This window comes from Homo sapiens, chromosome 5, assembly GCF_000001405.40.
Source record: "Homo sapiens chromosome 5, GRCh38.p14 Primary Assembly".
NCBI lineage: Eukaryota > Metazoa > Chordata > Mammalia > Primates > Hominidae > Homo > Homo sapiens.
In genome coordinates, this window is record NC_000005.10 from 181,434,635 (window position 1) to 181,453,556 (window position 18,922).

An 18,922-nucleotide genomic window follows, 5' to 3' on the forward strand; every position below is an offset into this window, starting at 1 on the left:
ATCGTGGGTGCAGGGACCCAGATTTGCTTCCTACTCATGTCTCCCTACCCACTGAAAAATGGAATATCAGTGAGGAATATCTTAGAGGGCTGCCTTTGCTCCTTTTGCCAGAGAACCAATATTGGTTATTAACAATTGGGCCACATCTGGTGTGCAGAAAAATGAATATTTTAATAGTGCTTCATAGGGTATCGTAGCATCTTATAAAAAGTGGCCCATCAAATTATTGATTCAATCATTTAAAATGCATTAGCAGAGGATGCCTATCAGACTAAGACATCCATGTTTCTGATCCAGTGAAAAGGGTCCAGGTAAGGAACACATATGAAGCCTCTTGGCATCCTTGTGTGAGCACGGTGCATGACGTGGCCATCAGTATCATTGTTTTCTTTGAGTTTTTGCTTGAGTGTTGAGATGTGTGAGGGATAGAAGATCCTTGTTTGCTTCTAGTCCTGACCTACACTGTCCATTAGGGAAATAATTTGTTTTCTTGAACCCATTATATGAATAATTTTGTTTTTAATCAATAGAAACAAATGGTCTTTATTTAACTAACAGAAAAAATTCCAATGAGGCCAGGCCACATAGGGGTTTCTGTAAATGTCATATCATTTCTCTTCTGTCCCCTCAGCTAAGAGTATAAAAAGTTCAGGCGACCTCCAGGGGCTTTTGCCTACTTAAATAGTATTACTTAGAGATGAGCTAGTACTTGGTTTTAAAAGTAATTTTTTTTTTCTTTTTTGAGACGGAGTTTCGCTCTGGTCGCCCAGTCTGGAGTGCAATGGCACAATCTCGGCTCGCTGCAAGCTCCACCTCCCGGGTTCAAGAGATTCTCCTGCCTCAGCCTCCCAAGTAGCTGGGATTACAGGTGCCTGCCACCATGCCTGGCTAATTTTTGTATTTTTAGTAGAGACGGGGTTTCACCATGTTGGGCAGGCTGGTTTCAAACTCCTGACCTCAGGTGATCCGCCTGACTGAGCCTCCCAAAGTGTTGTGATTACAGGCGTTAGCCACTGCTCCTGGCCCTAAAAGTAACAGTTCTAAGCTTTGTACTTACGACACCAAAAACATACAGACTGACATCTAAGTAATTAAGTCAATCATTAAGATATTTAGTTATGTCATGCAAAATAATAATCTCCAAGGAGTTCTCAAAGAATTCAGTAGTTTGATGTTATTGCCAGCACAGCCTTTACTGAGTCCTCTTATAAATCTTAAAGAAAAATTTAAGATTTTTAATTTTTAAAGATTTAAAAATTTTTAATTAAATTTTTTTTTTAGGGCTGGACTCTTGGTCTGTCGTCCAGGATAGAGGGCAGGGATGCCATCACTACTCACTATAACCTCAAACTCCTGGGCTCAAGCAATCCTCCCACCTCAGCCTCCGGAGTAGCTGGGACTACAGGCATGCCCCACCACATTCGGCTAATTTTTAAAATTTTTTTGTAGAGACAGGGTCTCACTATATTGTCCAGGCTGCTCTCAAAATCCTGGCCTAAAGTGATCCTCCTGCCTCAGCCTCCTGAGTAGCTGGGTTAGATCCTGGCAAATGAAAGGGCCCCAGCTTTGAACTACCTTTGGGGACGATCTCACTGCACACGGGTTCTCACACAGCACACCCCGTCACACACATGAACTCACACTGAGAACATATGAACACTACACACATGTTCTCACACAGCACACGCCCCGTCACACCCATGAACTCACACCGAGAACACAACATCACACACAGGGACTCACGCACAGAGGACATGTGAACACTACACACACGTTCTCACACAGCACACCCCGTCACACCCATGAACTCACACCAAGAACACAACATCACACACAGGGACTCACGCACAGAGGACATGTGGACACTACACACACGTTCTCACACAGCACACGCCCCGTCACACTCATGAACTCACACCGAGAACACAACATCACACACAGGGACTCACGCACAGAGGACATGTGAACACTACACACACGTTCTCACACAGCACACACCCCGTCACACCCACACCCCCACATGCCTAGACACACACATCCTTACTCTGCGTGCATCCCTGGCCTGGTGGACGGAAGATCGAGCGCTCTGGGTGGACTTACGGCCACAGGACGGGGGCAGAGTCGGCAGGGAGGCCCCTCCGAGGCCCAGTGGGCCCTGCGCTGGCCCCGGCCGCAGACGCCCACCTGCTGCTGTGCTGGCTGCGGCGTGTGCCCCGGGCTCTGCGGCTGACCTGGCCTCCACGTCTCACCCATGAAGCAGGCATGAAAGGCTGGCCAGGTTGGCTAAATGGGACCACAGCAGAAGCATGAGCCCCAGAATGTGCACGAAGGAAGAGAGAGCCGGGGGAGGTGGCGGGCTGGGTGTGCAGAGTGGGCCTGAGCTCCGGCCTCCTCCCTGGACGCCCTCCCGTGGCCGCAGCCATCCCCGCACCCACTGGTGTGGCCTGACCCTTCACCCTGAGCCCACCCTTCGCGGCCACTAGGGAACCTCAGGAGAGGCCGCCGCGGTGGGGTGGGCGGATTCCCCCGGAGCAGGCCCAGGCCCCTGCTCCTGAGCTCTCCTGCAGCGCCGTCTGCTGGCCACAGAGAACCCACGTGCGCCGGCCGCCAGGCCTGGGCATCTCCTCTCCTGCAGCGCCGCCTGCTGGCCACAGAGAACCCGCGTGCGCCGGCCGCCAGGCCTGGGCATCTCCTCTCCTGCAGCGCCGCCTGCTGGCCACAGAGAACCCGCGTGCGCCGGCCGCCTGGCCTGGGCATCTCCTCTCCTGCAGCGCCGCCTGCTGGCCACAGAGAACCCGCGTGCGCCGGCCGCCTGGCCTGGGCATCTCCTCTCCTGCAGCGCCGCCTGCTGGCCACAGAGAACCCGCGTGTGCCGGCCGCCAGGCCTGGGCATCTCCTCTCCTGCAGCGCCGCCTGCTGGCCACAGAGAACCCGCGTGCGCCGGCCGCCTGGCCTGGGCATCTCCTCTCCTGCAGCGCCGCCTGCTGGCCACAGAGAACCCACGTGCGCCGGCCGCCTGGCCTGGGCATCTCCTCTCCTGCAGCGCCGCCTGCTGGCCACAGAGAACCCGCGTGCGCCGGCCGCCAGGCCTGGGCATCTCCCCGGGCCCTAGTTCCCCCCCTCACCTAAGGGGAGGGACTCCCGTCTTTCCATCCACCCCCTCCTTGCCTCTGCAGAGCTCCAGGGAAGGCTGGCACCCGCTCACTGCATTTAGACTCCATCAGGTTCAGACAGTGGGTCAGGGTACAAGGCTTCAGTGGCCAGGGATGTGGCCTCTAATTTGTAGAGAGAAAGAAGGGCAGAGGCAAAGGTTTGGGCCCAGGGACTGGGCTCCGTTTCCAGAATCACTCTTGGAGCTGGTGAGCAGAGGGCTGGACACTGCCCTCCATGACCAGCACTGCCCTCCACCCTAGCTCACTCCCCTAGCTGGCCCAGGGGTTCAGGCTTTCCTTTCATAAAGTGGGGTCGAGGAAAGGCAAAACCTCCTCCCCTGGGCCACACGAACCGTGGTGCACAGGCTCCCACTAGGTGGGCCAGTCAGCTCATCCCATGGACACACCAGGGGCATCGAGAAAGGAATAGCGACCTGAACCCCATACCCGAAGGGTGGCCCTCAGGACCCCCAAGGCAGGGAACAGGCTGCAGAGGGTTTGGGGGAGCATCTTGGTGCATAGAAAACAAACACTCTGGGAAGCCGCTGTGAGTGTGTGTGGCTCTCAGGCCTGTTCTGTCCTGGGTGCGCTGCGTTCCCCAGGCGGCACCATCTCTCTGCCTCTGTACCCTTGAATTCCCTCTGCCTGCACCCGGTCCCCACCCACCTCCTGCCCAGCCCCACAAGCCCTTCCAGACCACTGCTGGGGCATTCCTGGGCCCCCTCGGTTCTTGGTGACTACCATGCAGTTCTCTATGGAAACTGACTCTCACTGAAAACAAGTGTAACCGTCTACCTAAGAGACTCACACAGAGTTCTCAGCCAGGTCTCCAGGACAATCAGACGCAACTTGTCATTCTCACTCATCCCATCACCCGACTAGCTTCTCAGCCCAGCCCTGGGGGAGGTTTTCCCCTTACTTGAAATGTCTCTTGGATTTGAAAAATCCCAGCGTTCACCCCTGGTGCCGACACTTGCCTCTGTAACCTTCTGCCTGCTGCTTTGCTCTCATCCAGACCGGTTGGCACTTGGCCCCCTCTGGCCAGCTGGTTCCCCAGAGACAACCATCTTGCCCACCTTGTGGAAGGCCCCATGGCCTGCCTCACCCCTCACTCCCATTTCACAGCTCTCGTGGTGCTCTACAAGAAAAATCTGCTTTATAGATGAGGAAAGACCCTTGGGGCAGACAAGACAGTCCCTGTTTGACATAATTCCTTTATCTCTTCTCCCCCAGCTCTGCTGCCCCCTGCCCCATACACGTGATGGAGCAGAAAACGTGCTGTGTGAACCTGTGACTTCAGGGCCTGTTGACGTGGTCGTGCTTGCATACTCTCTGGTGAGGGGTGGGGAGAGGGGGTGGGAGACGGGTAGAAATAGATGAAGTAGATGATGGGTGGATTGCTGGCTAGATAGATGATAGATAGGGATAGGTGGTATATGGGTGATAGGTAACAGGTGATGGATAGATGATAGAAATAGATGATGGATAGATACTTGATAGGCAAATTAGATAATAGATAGCAATAGATGAACTAGATGATAGATGGAAAGGTAGGTAGGTAGATATATGATAGATGGTTGATAGATAAAAATAGATGAAATAGATGGCATGGTTAGATAGGTGGGTAGGTAGATAGATGACAGATAGAAAGACAATAGACCACTGGGGGCTGAGCCTGGCCTGAGCCAGAAAGGTGAGAAGGGGACAGCGGTGAGGACCCCACAGGTCCCTGCTCTCACCCCTATTAGCCCCAGTGTTTGGCCTGAGCTCTGACTGACAGCTCCCTCTTTCCGAGATGAGACTCAAGAGGAGGAAGAGGGGACTTCCTAAGGACAGGGATTCTTGGTGTCTCCTTGGGGGTGGTAGACACTGCCTGCCTCGCCTGCTGTGGCCTCTCTGCACACAACCAACGACCCCTAAAGGGCTCCATGGGCGCCCATGCTGCCCCCATCAGCTGACACCCCCTGTGCGAAGATTCTCCTCCTCCTCTTCCTCCTGCCTTTCTGTCCCCTCATCCTCCTCTTTATGGAATTAACTTCCCTTGGTCAACATCTTCCTGCTTCACTCACTTCCCTAAACTCCTCCCTATCCCTTCTCAATCTGCAAGAAAAATGTAGAAAGAATATGGTAAAGGAAAGCTTTGAGCCCATATTTGGGTCCAATGCCGACACCACATGCCCCAAAGCCCCCTTGAGAGCATCCACGTCCGTGTAGTTGAGTATTGCCCGAGCTGGAGTGAGATTTGCCTCTCTACGGAGCTGCCTTCCTGCAGTTCAAGAGCACTGTCTCTTTTCTGGGCCTCCTGCCTGGTGCAAGGGCCCCAGCTGAGCCTCCTCCAGCTCTGACCTCTGGTGGTTCCGGGCTGCCCCAGAGGGTCTTGCCCAGGCTCTGACACTTGGCATGGTCTGGGAGCTCCAGCAGCCACAGCCCAGCCCTGGGGAGGCTTTGTGGTCTCTGAGGGGGCAGGTGCACTCCCCCAACTCCAGTTCATGTTTTTCCCTCCAACTCTAAGCCTTTTTCTTCCTCTGCTATTACCCAGGCACCCTACCCTGTCAACAACACTGGCCTTCAAGACCCTTTGTAGCATAACTCCCACCTATAACTCCCACCTGAAGCCAGCCCTTCCCACCTCTGCGCCTCTGATGCCCAGGACAGCTCTGACCATGGGCAGCTCTGACCCAGGACAGCTCTGACCTTGGGCAGCCCTGATCTGGGGCAGCTCTGACCTCGAGTAGCTGTGACCCTGGGCAGCTCTGACTCTGGGTAGTCGTGACCCTGGGGAACTCTCAGCACGGGGGTTGCATGCTCCTGTTTAGACAGCTGCTGTCCCCCAAGCTGGCTCACTATCCCATGTTGGAGTGCACTGTTCGGGGCTGCCTGCCTGGATTGATGCAGGGAAACTTGGTTCCAGCCCACCTCCTCCTGCGGAGGCTGAGTCAGGGGCTCTTCCCTCGGCCAGGCTGAAAGGCAGCTGTTGGTCCCCCTGTGAGGTCTTCCACATGGCCTGGGAGAGTCTCCCCATCTCTTCAGGCAGAAGGGAGGACAGTCCATAATGTTCCTTCCAGTCCTCTGACTTGTCATTTTTCTACCCCAAATCTTGCACTTTAACCCCATAGAGAGCTCCTGAAGGGGGAATTTTAACTGGCAAAACTCAGAACTCCATCCAAACACAACCGAAACCATCCTGGGTGGCTTAGAGGTGGCTGCCTCCCAGACAAGTCCATAGCCCCACAGAAACGTCTGGTCCTTCACCTGCCAGAGCTCAGGCTTTTTGGTTGAAGCCGGAGACAGGCCCAGCTCAGAGTGTGCCCCGGTTTATCCTGAACACCGACTTGGTGCGGTGTGTGTGACAGACCAGCGAAGCGGGTCTTGCTGCCTGTCCTGTGGTTGGCCCTTGGCTCCCAGCCTCGAGTCCTACCCTTAGGCCAGGTCAGAGCAGGTTCAGCAGCAGGACTGGCTAGGCACCACCCAGGCTCATGAGGTGGCTTTGTGGGGAGGAAATGAGGTTTTTTTTTTTCCTCTTGTAAAGTTGCTTGTTGTTAATTTAAAATTTTAATTTCATTTCTGAATTAACATTCAGCAAAACTGCTATTTTTTGGTGTACAGTTCTATGAGTTTAACACATTTATAGATTCATGTAGCAACACTGTGGATACAGAACAGTTACATCACCCCCAGAACTCCGTTCACAGTCACGCTCCCCGACCCAGCCCCGGCAGCTCTCCCTGTGGTTTGTCTTTTGCAGAGGAAATCCCGCAGCTGGCGGCACCTGGAGACCGGCTCCTCGCCGAGCCGACCGCGCGTGCGCGGCTCCCTCCTCGTCCGTGCTGAGCGCCGCGTGGGGTTCCGCGTGGAGGCGCCTGTGCCGCTGAAGCGTGTTTGGGTTGCTTCCAGGGTGGGATGGTTGTTGGATAGAGCTGTTTGTGCATTTGCGTTGTAGGTTTTTGTGTGAACATAAGCTTTTGTTTCTCTCGGGTACATACCCAGAAGTGCAATTGCTGAGTCATGTGGGAAGCGTGTGCCCAACTTTACAGGAAAACACCACAGGCCGCCCCTTCGCTTTGCGCTCCCGCTAATCGGGAATGAGTGCCTGCTGCTCCGCGTTCTTGCGGGCACCCAGCATTTTCCGTGCTTACATTTCAGCCATCCCGGAATGAATGAAAAGCGTTTCCTAGTGGCTGTAATTTGCATCTCCCTGGTGGCTGATGGAAGCTTATTTCCCATCCATATCCCTTGCTTGGTGACGCATCTGTTCAAGTCCTTCCCCGGTTTGTAACTGGATTATTTGGTGTTTTTACTGTTGGATTTTGAGAGTTCTTTATGTATTCTAGATACAATTCCTTTGCCAGATATGAGATTCACAAATATTTTCTCCAACTCTATGTCTTGTGTTTTCATTCTCTCAACAGTGACTTTTGCAGCATTCATAGGGATTTTATGTTTTCTTCTCAAAGTTTTATAAACCACTATATTTAAAATTTTAATTTAAAAACTATAAACCTATTATAGTTTTTAAATTAAACTGTAAACCTCTTATATAGATTTTCTGTTTAAACTTATGATTCCTTTTAAGTTAATTATTATGTAAGTTGTGAGGGTTGGGTCAAGGCATTCCTTTGCTTAAAATCCCCAGCTTTTCATTTCTCTCAGACAGAAGTCTTGACCTGCAGGGTCAGGCTCCCCTGCTCTCTGAGCTCGCCCTCCCCACGCAGCGCTAGCCCCTGGACTATTCTCACCACTCAGGCCTTGGCCTCCATACCCGCTTGGCACCCACCAAAGGGTCCGGGGACCCCTCCACAGGGCAGCGTTCTGTCTGTGAGGTGAAGCGGGAGCAGAGGGCCAGGCAGAGCCAGGCTGGGACCCAATCTCTGCTTCAGGCTGGTCTTTTTTTTTTTTTTTTTTGAGACGGAGTCTCGCTGTCGCCCAGGCTGGAGTGCAGTGGCGCGATCTCGGCTCACTGCAAGCACCGCCTCCCGGGTTCACGCCATTCTCCTGCCTCAGCCTCGCGCGTAGCTGGGACTACAGGTGCCTGCCACCATGCCTGGCTAATTTTTTGTATTTTTAGTAGAGACGGGGTTTCACCGTGTTAGCCAGGATGGTCTTGATGTCCTGACCTTGTGATCTGCCCGCCTCGGCCTCCCAAAGTGCTGGGATTACAGGCGTGAGCCACCGCACCTGGCCAGGCTGGTCTTTTTTGCCAGAGTTAGTGTTGTATTGAGGGACATGGAGGGAGAAAAGGGGGTCAGTTAGGGGCAAGTTTACTTGTGCAGGTAACCAGGGTGAGGGCTCGAGGGGAGAAGAGAGATAAGGAGGGCAGAGCTCAGCCAAGTTGGCCTGATGACATGACCAGAATGTGATCACTAGATCCCCTGCCTGGAGGCCCAAGTGTGGCCCCAGGTCTGGATAGTTGCAGCCACTGTGGGGAAGCTTCAGTTTGGGAGCCACAGAAACCAAGAATATTGTCTGGGAAGCTGATGTGCAGAGAGGAGAATGGAGCGGATGGAGGTGCGGTGGGGGAGAGAGACAAAGAGACAGAGAGGAGAGTAAAAGCCTGTTGCTGGCTCCACTATGTTGGGCTTGTCAGCCCAGCTTCTTCTTGTCCCATCCATAAAATGGGCTGGTGTCGCCCATCCTGGTTAGGAGGCACAAGGAAGTGTTGCGCTGTGTGCTCGGCCCAGCTGACTCAGCAGCTCTCCAACCTTGGGGACTCTCCAGACAGGTGTGTGCAGGTGAGGTGCTGGACCAAGGAAGGGCAGGTGGAGGACATGGCCGAGGGGAGCTCTGTGAGCTGAGCTGCCTGCTTCGAGGGTGCCCTTGAGGCCCAGGACTGACCCCTGGAGGGAGAGGCTTCCTTCCTTCTGTTGGGGCTCAGAAAACAACGCCCCAAAATGAAGTCCTCAGCAGCAGCCTCAGAAGCAAAAGTTGTCTCTGACCTTCTCCTGCCCTCCTGTCTCTCAGTCTCATTCTCCCCGAAGGCGCTGTAGAAACCAGACTCTCTTTTTCCCCAAGGCCGGTCACAGAAATCAGAACCCCTTCTCCCCAAAGCTGGTCAGAAAACCTAAAAATATTACTCAGTTTTCCGTCTACCTTTCTATATAAGAGCTGACTAGAGAGAAATGATCCAACATCCCTTGTTTGACTGTAGGTCATGAGACTGTCATTCCAGAGAGGGCCCTGCCCCACGTCCAGAGAAGAAAATGCTCAGAGACGAAGACAAATCTAGACAGACCTTGCTGGGTTCCCACTCAGTCTATTCACATTAGATCAAGCCCTTTGTGTCCAATCCTTTTTTTAGAGGACTGTTCATACGTTATTAAACCTAAACATAAAAATGGACAATTTCCCCCATCGTTGGGTCTTCGTTCTAAAGGTTCTTATATGTACACATCACATAAATTTGCATACCGTTTCTCCTATTAATCCATCTGTCTCATGTCAGTGACTTCTCAGCAAACCTTTAGGGGCCAAGGGGCCCCACACTCTCCAGCGGCAGGCACAATGGGCCTGGGGTGCAGTTGTGGACACTCGGACCCTCCTTGGAGCTGGTTTAGCTGTGCTGTGTGCTTGTGGGAATGGATTGCCATGATTTCTGGGCTCTAATAAATTGTGCTTCAATCGACTCTTGAGGAGTTAATGAGAGGCCTCACTTCAGACCATAAACACCCTCCCTGTGTGGGATAGAAACACACATCGTCACAGCCAGGAGGTCAGTCGGGTGAGGGTCTGCTTTGCTTACAAGGTCCAGAAACCCAGCAGAAAACCCTCGAGGCCACATCAGTGAAGAGTAACTTATTTCAGCAACATTTCCATGTGTGACACAAGACACACATTTCCTGCATCCACCTTTAAAGTCAAGAAGTTGAAGCTGAATAAAGCCAGCAGGCAGCGAAAATCACCTGCACTCAGTTCAGTTGTGGCAGGAAAGGGAAAGAGCCATGAAGAAAGGAGAGGGGGATGGAGAGGGAGAAAGGAGAGGGGGATGGAGAGGAGAAAGGAGAGGGGGATGGAGAGGGAGAAAGGAGAGGGGGATAGAGAGGAGAAAGGAGAGGGGGCTAGAGAGGAGAAAGGAGAGGGAGATGGAGAGGGGGATGGAGAGGGGGATGGAGAGGAGAAAGGAGACGGGGATGGAGGGGGGATGGAGAGAAGAAAGGAGAGGAGGGTGGAGAGCGACAGCTGCAGAGGGAGGCAGGGAGGCTGGCTGGGCGTGGACAGCTGCAGAGGGAGGCAGGGGAGGCCGGCTGGGCATGGACACTGCAGAGGGGACACAGCCACTCTGGGAACAGCAGCCAGTGGCGGATCTGCCTGGAATGCTGTTCCCTCCTGTCCAGGATGGGCCTGTCTCTGCAGACAGGGGCCCTCCCCTTCCTGGCCTGGCTGTGCACTCCCCATGTGCATGGTGGAAGCTCTGCAGAGGCCGTTCTGCTCCAGAGTGGGGCATAGCCTCGGGCGAGGTTCACAGCTTGGGGGGCTGGTCCTGCCCTGTCCCACATGTGGCTGTGTGGGCAGCATGGATCTTCTTCCGCGGTGACCCTGTGTGCCCACCCCCCCCAACTTATGCCTGCTTCCCAAGGCCATGGGCCTCACCCTCAGACTTCACTTTTGTGTATATGGAAAGACACAATTATCGGGACAGAAACAGATCAGTATTTGCCAGTGGGTGAGTGAGGGGAGAGGAGTTTACTACCGAGGGGCCGAACTGGGGCCATTTTTGAGGGATGAAAGTCTTCTGTGTGGCTCTACAGAGTTGGGTACGTGATGCTGTGCTTGTCAAACCCCACAGGACTGGACCTCACTGTGGGAACAACAAGATCAACAAGAGGAGCAAGAACAACATCAAGAGTCAGGGCCCGGGGGTCCTGACGGGTACAGGACGGGTACAGACCCACACAGGAATCCCAGAGTGTGTTCCACAGCAGGACACGCCTGCGCTGAAAGAGTGGGCAGAAAGGAGCTGACCTGGGTAAGTCCAAAAACAGTGTTTTGATTAGATTCTGGAAAGAATCAAATAACTCTGCATATCTAAGCACTAAACTCCAATTGGTAAAATTGTTTCCCACAGCAATACATGTTAGCAACTTTGAAACTACTTTTATATATACTAAGGTTTCACAAATAAGTCAATACAGTAGTAAGAGTCAGGGTTCTCACAGCTGGATAAGGAAGTCATGGAAAAGCCAGCGGGGACCCTGAGGTCCATATATAATATATATTATACATATATACAGATCAGAATGGACCCTAAGGTGGTCGGTTATAGACAGATATGCCAGCAGGAACTCATGTTTACATGATACATATATACAGATCAGAATGGACCCTGAGGACCATATATAATATATATTATACATATATGCAGATCAGAATGGACCCTGAGGTCCATATATAATATATATTATACATATATACAGATCAGAATGGACCCTAAGGTGGTCGGTTATAGACAGATATGCCAGCAGGAACTCATGTTTACATGATACATATATACAGATCAGAATGGACCCTGAGGACCATATATAATATATATTATACATATATACAGATCAGAATGGACCCTAAGGTGGTCGGTTATAGACAGATATGCCAGCAGGAACTCATGTTTACATGATACATATATACAGATCAGAATGGACCCTGAGGTCCATATATAATATATATTATACATATATGCAGATCAGAATGGACCCTGAGGTCCATATATAATATATATTATACATATATACAGATCAGAATGGACCCTGAGGTGGTCAGTTATAGTCAGATATGCCAGCAGGAACTCGTGTTTACATGATACATATATACAGATCAGAATGGACCCTGAGGTGGTCGGTTACAGTCAGATATGCCAGCAGGAACTCGTGTTTACATGATACTTATATACAGATCGGAATGGACCCTGAGGTGGTCAGTTATAGTCAGATATGCCAGTAGGAACTCGTGTTTACATGATACATACATACAGATCAGAATGGACCCTGAGGTGGTCAGTTATAGTCAGATATGCCAGTAGGAACTCATGTTTACATGATACATATATACAGATCAGAATGGACCCTGAGGTGGTCGGTTATAGTCAGATATGCCAGCAGGAACTCGTGTTTACATGATACATATATACAGATCAGAATGGACCCTGAGGTGGTCGGTTACAGTCAGATATGCCAGCAGGAACTCGTGTTTACATGATACTTATATACAGATCGGAATGAACCCTGAGGTGGTCAGTTATAGTCAGATATGCCAGTAGGAAATCATGTTTACATGATACATATATACAGATCAGAATGGACCCTGAGGTGGTCGGTTACAGTCAGATATGCCAGTAGGAAGTCGTGTTTACATGATACATATATACAGATCAGAATGGACCCTGAGGTGGTCAGTTATAGTCAGATATGCCAGCAGGAACTCATGTTTACATAATACATATATACAGATAGGTTAAATATATACACACACACGTGCGTGTGCATACATGGCTTAGCACACACATCTGTAGATCCTGGGTTTGTCCTTTGAGAGGGGACACCCCAGTAGCAGCAAGCACATTCCATGCCCAGATGTTAGTTTCTAAATTTCATCTTCAATAAAAGGAGCCAAGTCTCCCTGGAGAAATGGCTGATAATTGGGATGTGGGAGAGAAAATACAAGATGAACCTGGAGCATCTTGTAGTCCCAGGAAGTAAGAAAATGCTCAAAAATAAAATTTTTAAAAAGCTGTGGGCATTTCAAAAGGGCATGGAACCCAAAATGTAAGAGCTCCCAGTGGCCACAGCTACAATGATTTGAGTGCACACACACTCACACAGACATACACACACACACACACACAAATCGGATTATGCCCCAAAGAATAAAATGAATGTCCATGGATTTGTAAGCATATAAATAAATTATTGAATAAATTAAAACTGAAAGGGTAGCCGGGCGAGGTGGCGAGCGCCTGTAGTCCCAGCTACTCGGGAGGCTGAGGCAGGAGAATGGTGTGAGCCCGGGAGGTGGAGCTTGCAGTGAGCCAAGATCACGCCAATGCACTCCAGCTGGGGTGACAGAGCAAGACTCTGTCTCAAAAACAAAACAAAACAAAACAAAACAAAAAACTGAAAGGGACAGGCCTTTCTTGGAACAAATTCCAAACAAGAAATGTGGAGTAAATAGGGAAAATCACCATCAGGCTGGGCACAGTGGCTCGTGCCTGTAATCTCAACACTTCGGGAGGCTGAGGCAGGTGGATCTCCTGAGGTCAGGAGTTCGAGACCAGCCTAGCCAACATTGTGAAACCCTGTCTCTACAAAAAAATACAAAATTAGCTGGGCCTGGTGACACATGCCTGTAATCTCAGCTACTTGGGAGGCTGAGGCAGGAGAATCGCTTGAACCCGGGAGGTTGCAGTGAGCTGAGATTGTGCCACTGCACTCCAGCCTGGGCAATAAGAGCAAAACTCTGTCTCAAAAAAAAGAAAGAAAGAAAGAAAAGAAAAGAAAAAAAAGAAAATCACCATCAGTGCTGCAGGCAAGCTCCCCTGAGGAATGCTAAAATTCCTGTGCAAAGTTTAAGGAGAAAGAAGATATTTGTATACTGTCAAAGTGTCTCCCCTAAATGTTCAGTAATTACCATGGTGCCCAAATTCTTTGATGCTCCTTCCTGTGGGAGTTGGAGCTCATGCTGGACTTCATGACTCACTCTTAACCAGCAGGACATGGAGAGGAAAACAGTCACTCTCCCGTGGGGAGACCTGGCAGGCCTCACCTTGGCCGTGTGATCAAGGTCCAGACCACCAGTGATGAGGCATGTTGACATCGTGGCCCCTGAGAGCACGTGATGAGAAGAGCGCTCCACCTCTGCCGTGTTCTTCCGCAAACGCACAGTTCCAGTGTAATCAGAGAGAACATCACACACACACCAATTGAGGGGCATCTTGCAGAATACCTGAGCAGCACTCTGCAAAGCTGTCAAGGCAGTGAAACGAAGACAGGCCAGGAAAGGGTCACAGGTGCAGGGGACTAAGGAGGCGTGAGGGCCAGTGCAGCCTGGGGTCCTGGACGTGAGCTGCTGAGACGGCACCCGCGTGAGTGTCGCAGTTTCCACACCGTGAGCTGCTGAGACGGCACCCGCGTGAGTGTCGCAGTTTCCACACCGTGAGCTGCTGAGACGGCACCCGCGTGAGTGTCGCAGTTTCCACACCGTGAGCTGCTGAGACGGCACCCGCGTGAGTGTCGCAGTTTCCACACCGTGAGCTGCTGAGACGGCACCCGTGTGAGTGTCGCAGTTTCCACACCGTGAGCTGCTGAGATGGCACCCGCGGGAGTGTCGCAGTTTCCACACCGTGAGCTGCTGAGACGGCACCCGCGTGAGTGTCGCAGTTTCCACACCGTGAGCTGCTGAGACGGCACCCGCGTGAGTGTCGCAGTTTCCACACCGTGAGCTGCTGAGATGGCACCCGCGGGAGTGTCGCAGTTTCCACACCGTGACCTGCTGAGATGGCACCTGCGTGAGTGTCGCAGTTTCCACACCGTGAGCTGCTGAGACGGCACCCGCGTGAGTGTCGCAGTTTCCACACCGTGAGCTGCTGAGACGGCACCCGCGTGAGTGTCGCAGTTTCCACACCGTGAGCTGCTGAGACGGCACCCGCGTGAGTGTCGCAGTTTCCACACCGTGAGCTGCTGAGACGGCACCCGCGTGAGTGTCGCAGTTTCCACACCGTGAGCTGCTGAGACGGCACCCGCGTGAGTGTCGCAGTTTCCACACCGTGAGCTGCTGAGACGGCACCCGCGTGAGTGTCGCAGTTTCCACACCGTGAGCTGCTGAGACGGCACCCGCGTGAGTGTCGCAGTTTCCACACCGTGAGCTGCTGAGACGGCACCCGCGTGAGTGTCGCAGTTTCCACACCGTGAGCTGCTGAGACGGCACCCGCGTGAGTGTCGCAGTTTCCACACCGTGAGCTGCTGAGACGGCACCCGCGTGAGTGTCGCAGTTTCCACACCGTGAGCTGCTGAGACGGCACCCGCGGGAGTGTCGCAGTTTCCACACCGTGAGCTGCTGAGACGGCACCCGCGTGAGTGTCGCAGTTTCCACACCGTGAGCTGCTGAGACGGCACCCGCGTGAGTGTCGCAGTTTCCACACCGTGAGCTGCTGAGACGGCACCCGCGTGAGTGTCGCAGTTTCCACACCGTGAGCTGCTGAGACGGCACCCGCGTGAGTGTCGCAGTTTCCACACCGTGAGCTGCTGAGACGGCACCCGCGTGAGTGTCGCAGTTTCCACACCGTGAGCTGCTGAGACGGCACCCGCGTGAGTGTCGCAGTTTCCACACCGTGAGCTGCTGAGACGGCACCCGCGTGAGTGTCGCAGTTTCCACACCGTGAGCTGCTGAGACGGCACCCGCGTGAGTGTCGCAGTTTCCACACCGTGAGCTGCTGAGACGGCACCCGCGTGAGTGTCGCAGTTTCCACACCGTGAGCTGCTGAGACGGCACCCGCGTGAGTGTCGCAGTTTCCACACCGTGAGCTGCTGAGACGGCACCCGCGTGAGTGTCGCAGTTTCCACACCGTGAGCTGCTGAGATGGCACCCGCGTGAGTGTCGCAGTTTCCACACCGTGAGCTGCTGAGATGGCACCCGCGTGAGTGTCGCAGTTTCCACACCGTGAGCTGCTGAGATGGCACCCGCGTGAGTGTCGCAGTTTCCACACCGTGAGCTGCTGAGATGGCACCCGCGTGAGTGTCGCAGTTTCCACACCGTGAGCTGCTGAGATGGCACCCGCGTGAGTGTCGCAGTTTCCACACCGTGAGCTGCTGAGATGGCACCCGCGTGAGTGTCGCAGTTTCCACACCGTGAGCTGCTGAGATGGCACCCGCGTGAGTGTCGCAGTTTCCACACCGTGAGCTGCTGAGATGGCACCCGCGTGAGTGTCGCAGTTTCCACACCGTGAGCTGCTGAGATGGCACCCGCGTGAGTGTCGCAGTTTCCACACCGTGAGCTGCTGAGATGGCACCCATGGGAGTGTCGCAGTTTCTACACCGTGAGCTGCTGAGATGGCACCCGTGTGAGTGTCGCAGTTTCCACACCGTGAGCTGCTGAGATGGCACCCATGGGAGTGTCGCAGTTTCTACACCGTGAGCTGCTGAGATGGCACCCGTGTGAGTGTCGCAGTTTCCACACCGTGAGCTGCTGAGATGGCACCCGTGTGAGTGTCGCAGTTTCCACACCGTGAGCTGCTGAGATGGCACCCATGGGAGTGTCGCAGTTTCCACACCGTGAGCTGCTGAGATGGCACCCGCGTGAGTGTCGCAGTTTCCACACCGTGAGCTGCTGAGATGGCACCCGCGTGAGTGTCGCAGTTTCCACACCGTGAGCTGCTGAGATGGCACCCGTGTGAGTGTCGCAGTTTCCACACCGTGAGCTGCTGAGATGGCACCCGTGTGAGTGTCGCAGTTTCCACACCGTGAGCTGCTGAGATGGCACCCATGGGAGTGTCGCAGTTTCTACACCGTGAGCTGCTGAGATGGCACCCGTGTGAGTGTCGCAGTTTCCACACCGTGAGCTGCTGAGATGGCACCCGTGTGAGTGTCGCAGTTTCCACACCGTGAGCTGCTGAGATGGCACCCATGGGAGTGTCGCAGTTTCTACACCGTGAGCTGCTGAGATGGCACCCACGTGAGTGTCGCAGTTTCCACACCGTGAGCTGCTGAGATGGCACCCGTGTGAGTGTCGCAGTTTCCACACCGTGAGCTGCTGAGATGGCACCCACGTGAGTGTCGCAGTTTCCACACCGTGAGCTGCTGAGATGGCACCCGTGTGAGTGTCGCAGTTTCCACACCGTGAGCTGCTGAGATGGCACCCGTGTGAGTGTCGCAGTTTCCACACGTGCATCATTGCTGTGTAAGATGCTCAAGTGAGAGGAAGCTGGTGAACGGGTCTGTGGGAAGTTGCAGTACTGTCTTTGCAACTCTTCTGGACATCTTTTTTTTTTTTTTAAATAAAACATTTTTAACATGAAAATATGCAGAGCACGGTGGCTCGCACCTGTAATCCCAGCACTTTGGGAGGCCGAGGCAGGTGGATCATGAGGTCAGGAGTTCAAGACCAGCCTAGCCAACATGGTGAAACCCCGTCTCTACTAAGAATACAAAAATTAGCTGGGCGTGGTGATGGGCATCTGTAATCCCAGCTACTCGGGAGGCTGAGGCAGGAGAATCACTTGAACCCGGGAGGCAGAGGTTGCAGTGAGCCGAGATCGCGCCCCTGCACTCCAGCCTGGGTGACAGAGCAAGACTCCATCTCAAAAAAAATAAAGGAAATATGCGTCGTTGGATGCTGTATGACAATCAAGCTACTTATAACAAACAAAATTGAGAATGAAGGTAAATTAAAAATAATTTATAGTCTTTAAAAAGCAGGAACTACAAAATTTACATTTCTGAAAATGGCAGAAAAATCCCACATGGCTGTATATGTATGTGTGAGATTGTGTATGAATGAGCGCATGCATATATTTTTGTGTGTTTGGATTATATGTGTGACGGTGTGCATGAGTGTGTATATGATTTGGGGGTATGTGTGAGTGTGTATGACTGTGTGTATGAGTGTGTATGATTTGTGTGTGTGAGTGTGTACATGTATACACTAGTGTGCGTATGATTTGGGGGTATGAATGTGAATGTGTACATATGTATTTATGATCTGAGTGTGTATGAGTGTGAATGTGAACATGTGTGTGTGAGTGGGTATATGATTTGGGTGTGTGCAAGTATGAATATGTATTGTGTGCATTAATGTGTATATTTTGGGCTGTGTATGAGTGAATGTGAACATGTGTGCACGAGTGTATATATGATCTGGGTGTGTATGAGTGAGCATGAGTGAACATGTGTGCATGAATGTGAGTATGATTTGGGTGTGTATGAGTGTGAATGTGTGCACGAGTGTATATATGATCTGGGTGTGTATGAGTGAGCATGAATGTGAACATGTGTGCATGAATGTGAACATGTGTGCATGAATATATGATTTGGGTGTGTATGAGTGTGAATGTGTGCACGAGTGTACAATCGGTGTGTATGAGTGAGCATGAATGTGAACATGTGTGCACGAGTGTATATATGATCTGGGTGTGTAGGAGTGAGCATGAATGTGTATGCACAAGTGTGTGTATGTGTGTATGATCTGGGTGTGTAGGAGTGTGAATACGAACACGTATGCACAAGTATGTATATGATCTGTGTATGTATGAGTGAGTGTGAATGTGTGCATAAGTGTGTGTATGATCTGGGTATGAGTGATTGTGAATGTGAGCATGTGTGCACGAGTGTGTATATGATCTGGGTGTGTGGGAGTGAGCATGAATGTGTATGCACAAGTGTGTGTATGTGTGTATGATCTGGGTGTGTAGGAGTGTGAATATGAACACGTGTGCACAAATGTGTATATGATCCGAGTATGTAGGAGTGAGTGTGAATGTGAACATGTTTGCACGTGTGTATATGATATGGGTGCATGTGTGGGTGTGTTTGTGCAGGTGCACTGGGAGCTTTCAGCATTGAGTCTGTGTGGCATCCAGGCTTTTCTGGATGATGTAGAATCAAACCCCATAATTAATTCCAGTAACTTAGAAATTTTCACTTATGAATACTAAATTCTCCTCACCTAGCAACTGACTGAGCAGGTTGAACAGCACCCTTCGCCGTTCTCCTGCAGAACCCCGTGGAAGGGCCCTGCTTTCTCAGAGTGCTCCTAGCGGTGATGAGGGAGCCCAGCTCATTGCGGTTCGTGCAGAA

The 18,922-nt window shown here is 52.1% G+C and overlaps 1 long non-coding RNA gene across 3 annotated transcripts in view; it reads left to right on the plus strand.

Annotated features, from left to right (window-relative positions):
- LOC124901156 (uncharacterized) overlaps positions 1 to 18,922 on the plus strand; it is a 44,142-nt gene that overhangs the window by 15,898 nt on the left and 9,322 nt on the right. For 2 of the 3 annotated variants that reach the window (XR_007059090.1, XR_007059091.1), the window contains exons 2-3: positions 4,386 to 4,487; positions 10,933 to 11,112. This is a non-coding gene — a long non-coding RNA (uncharacterized LOC124901156). Of the gene's footprint in view, positions 1 to 4,385; positions 4,488 to 10,932; positions 11,113 to 16,341; positions 17,510 to 18,922 lie in introns of those variants that run through there. The other variant, XR_007059092.1, reaches the window with a different exon arrangement.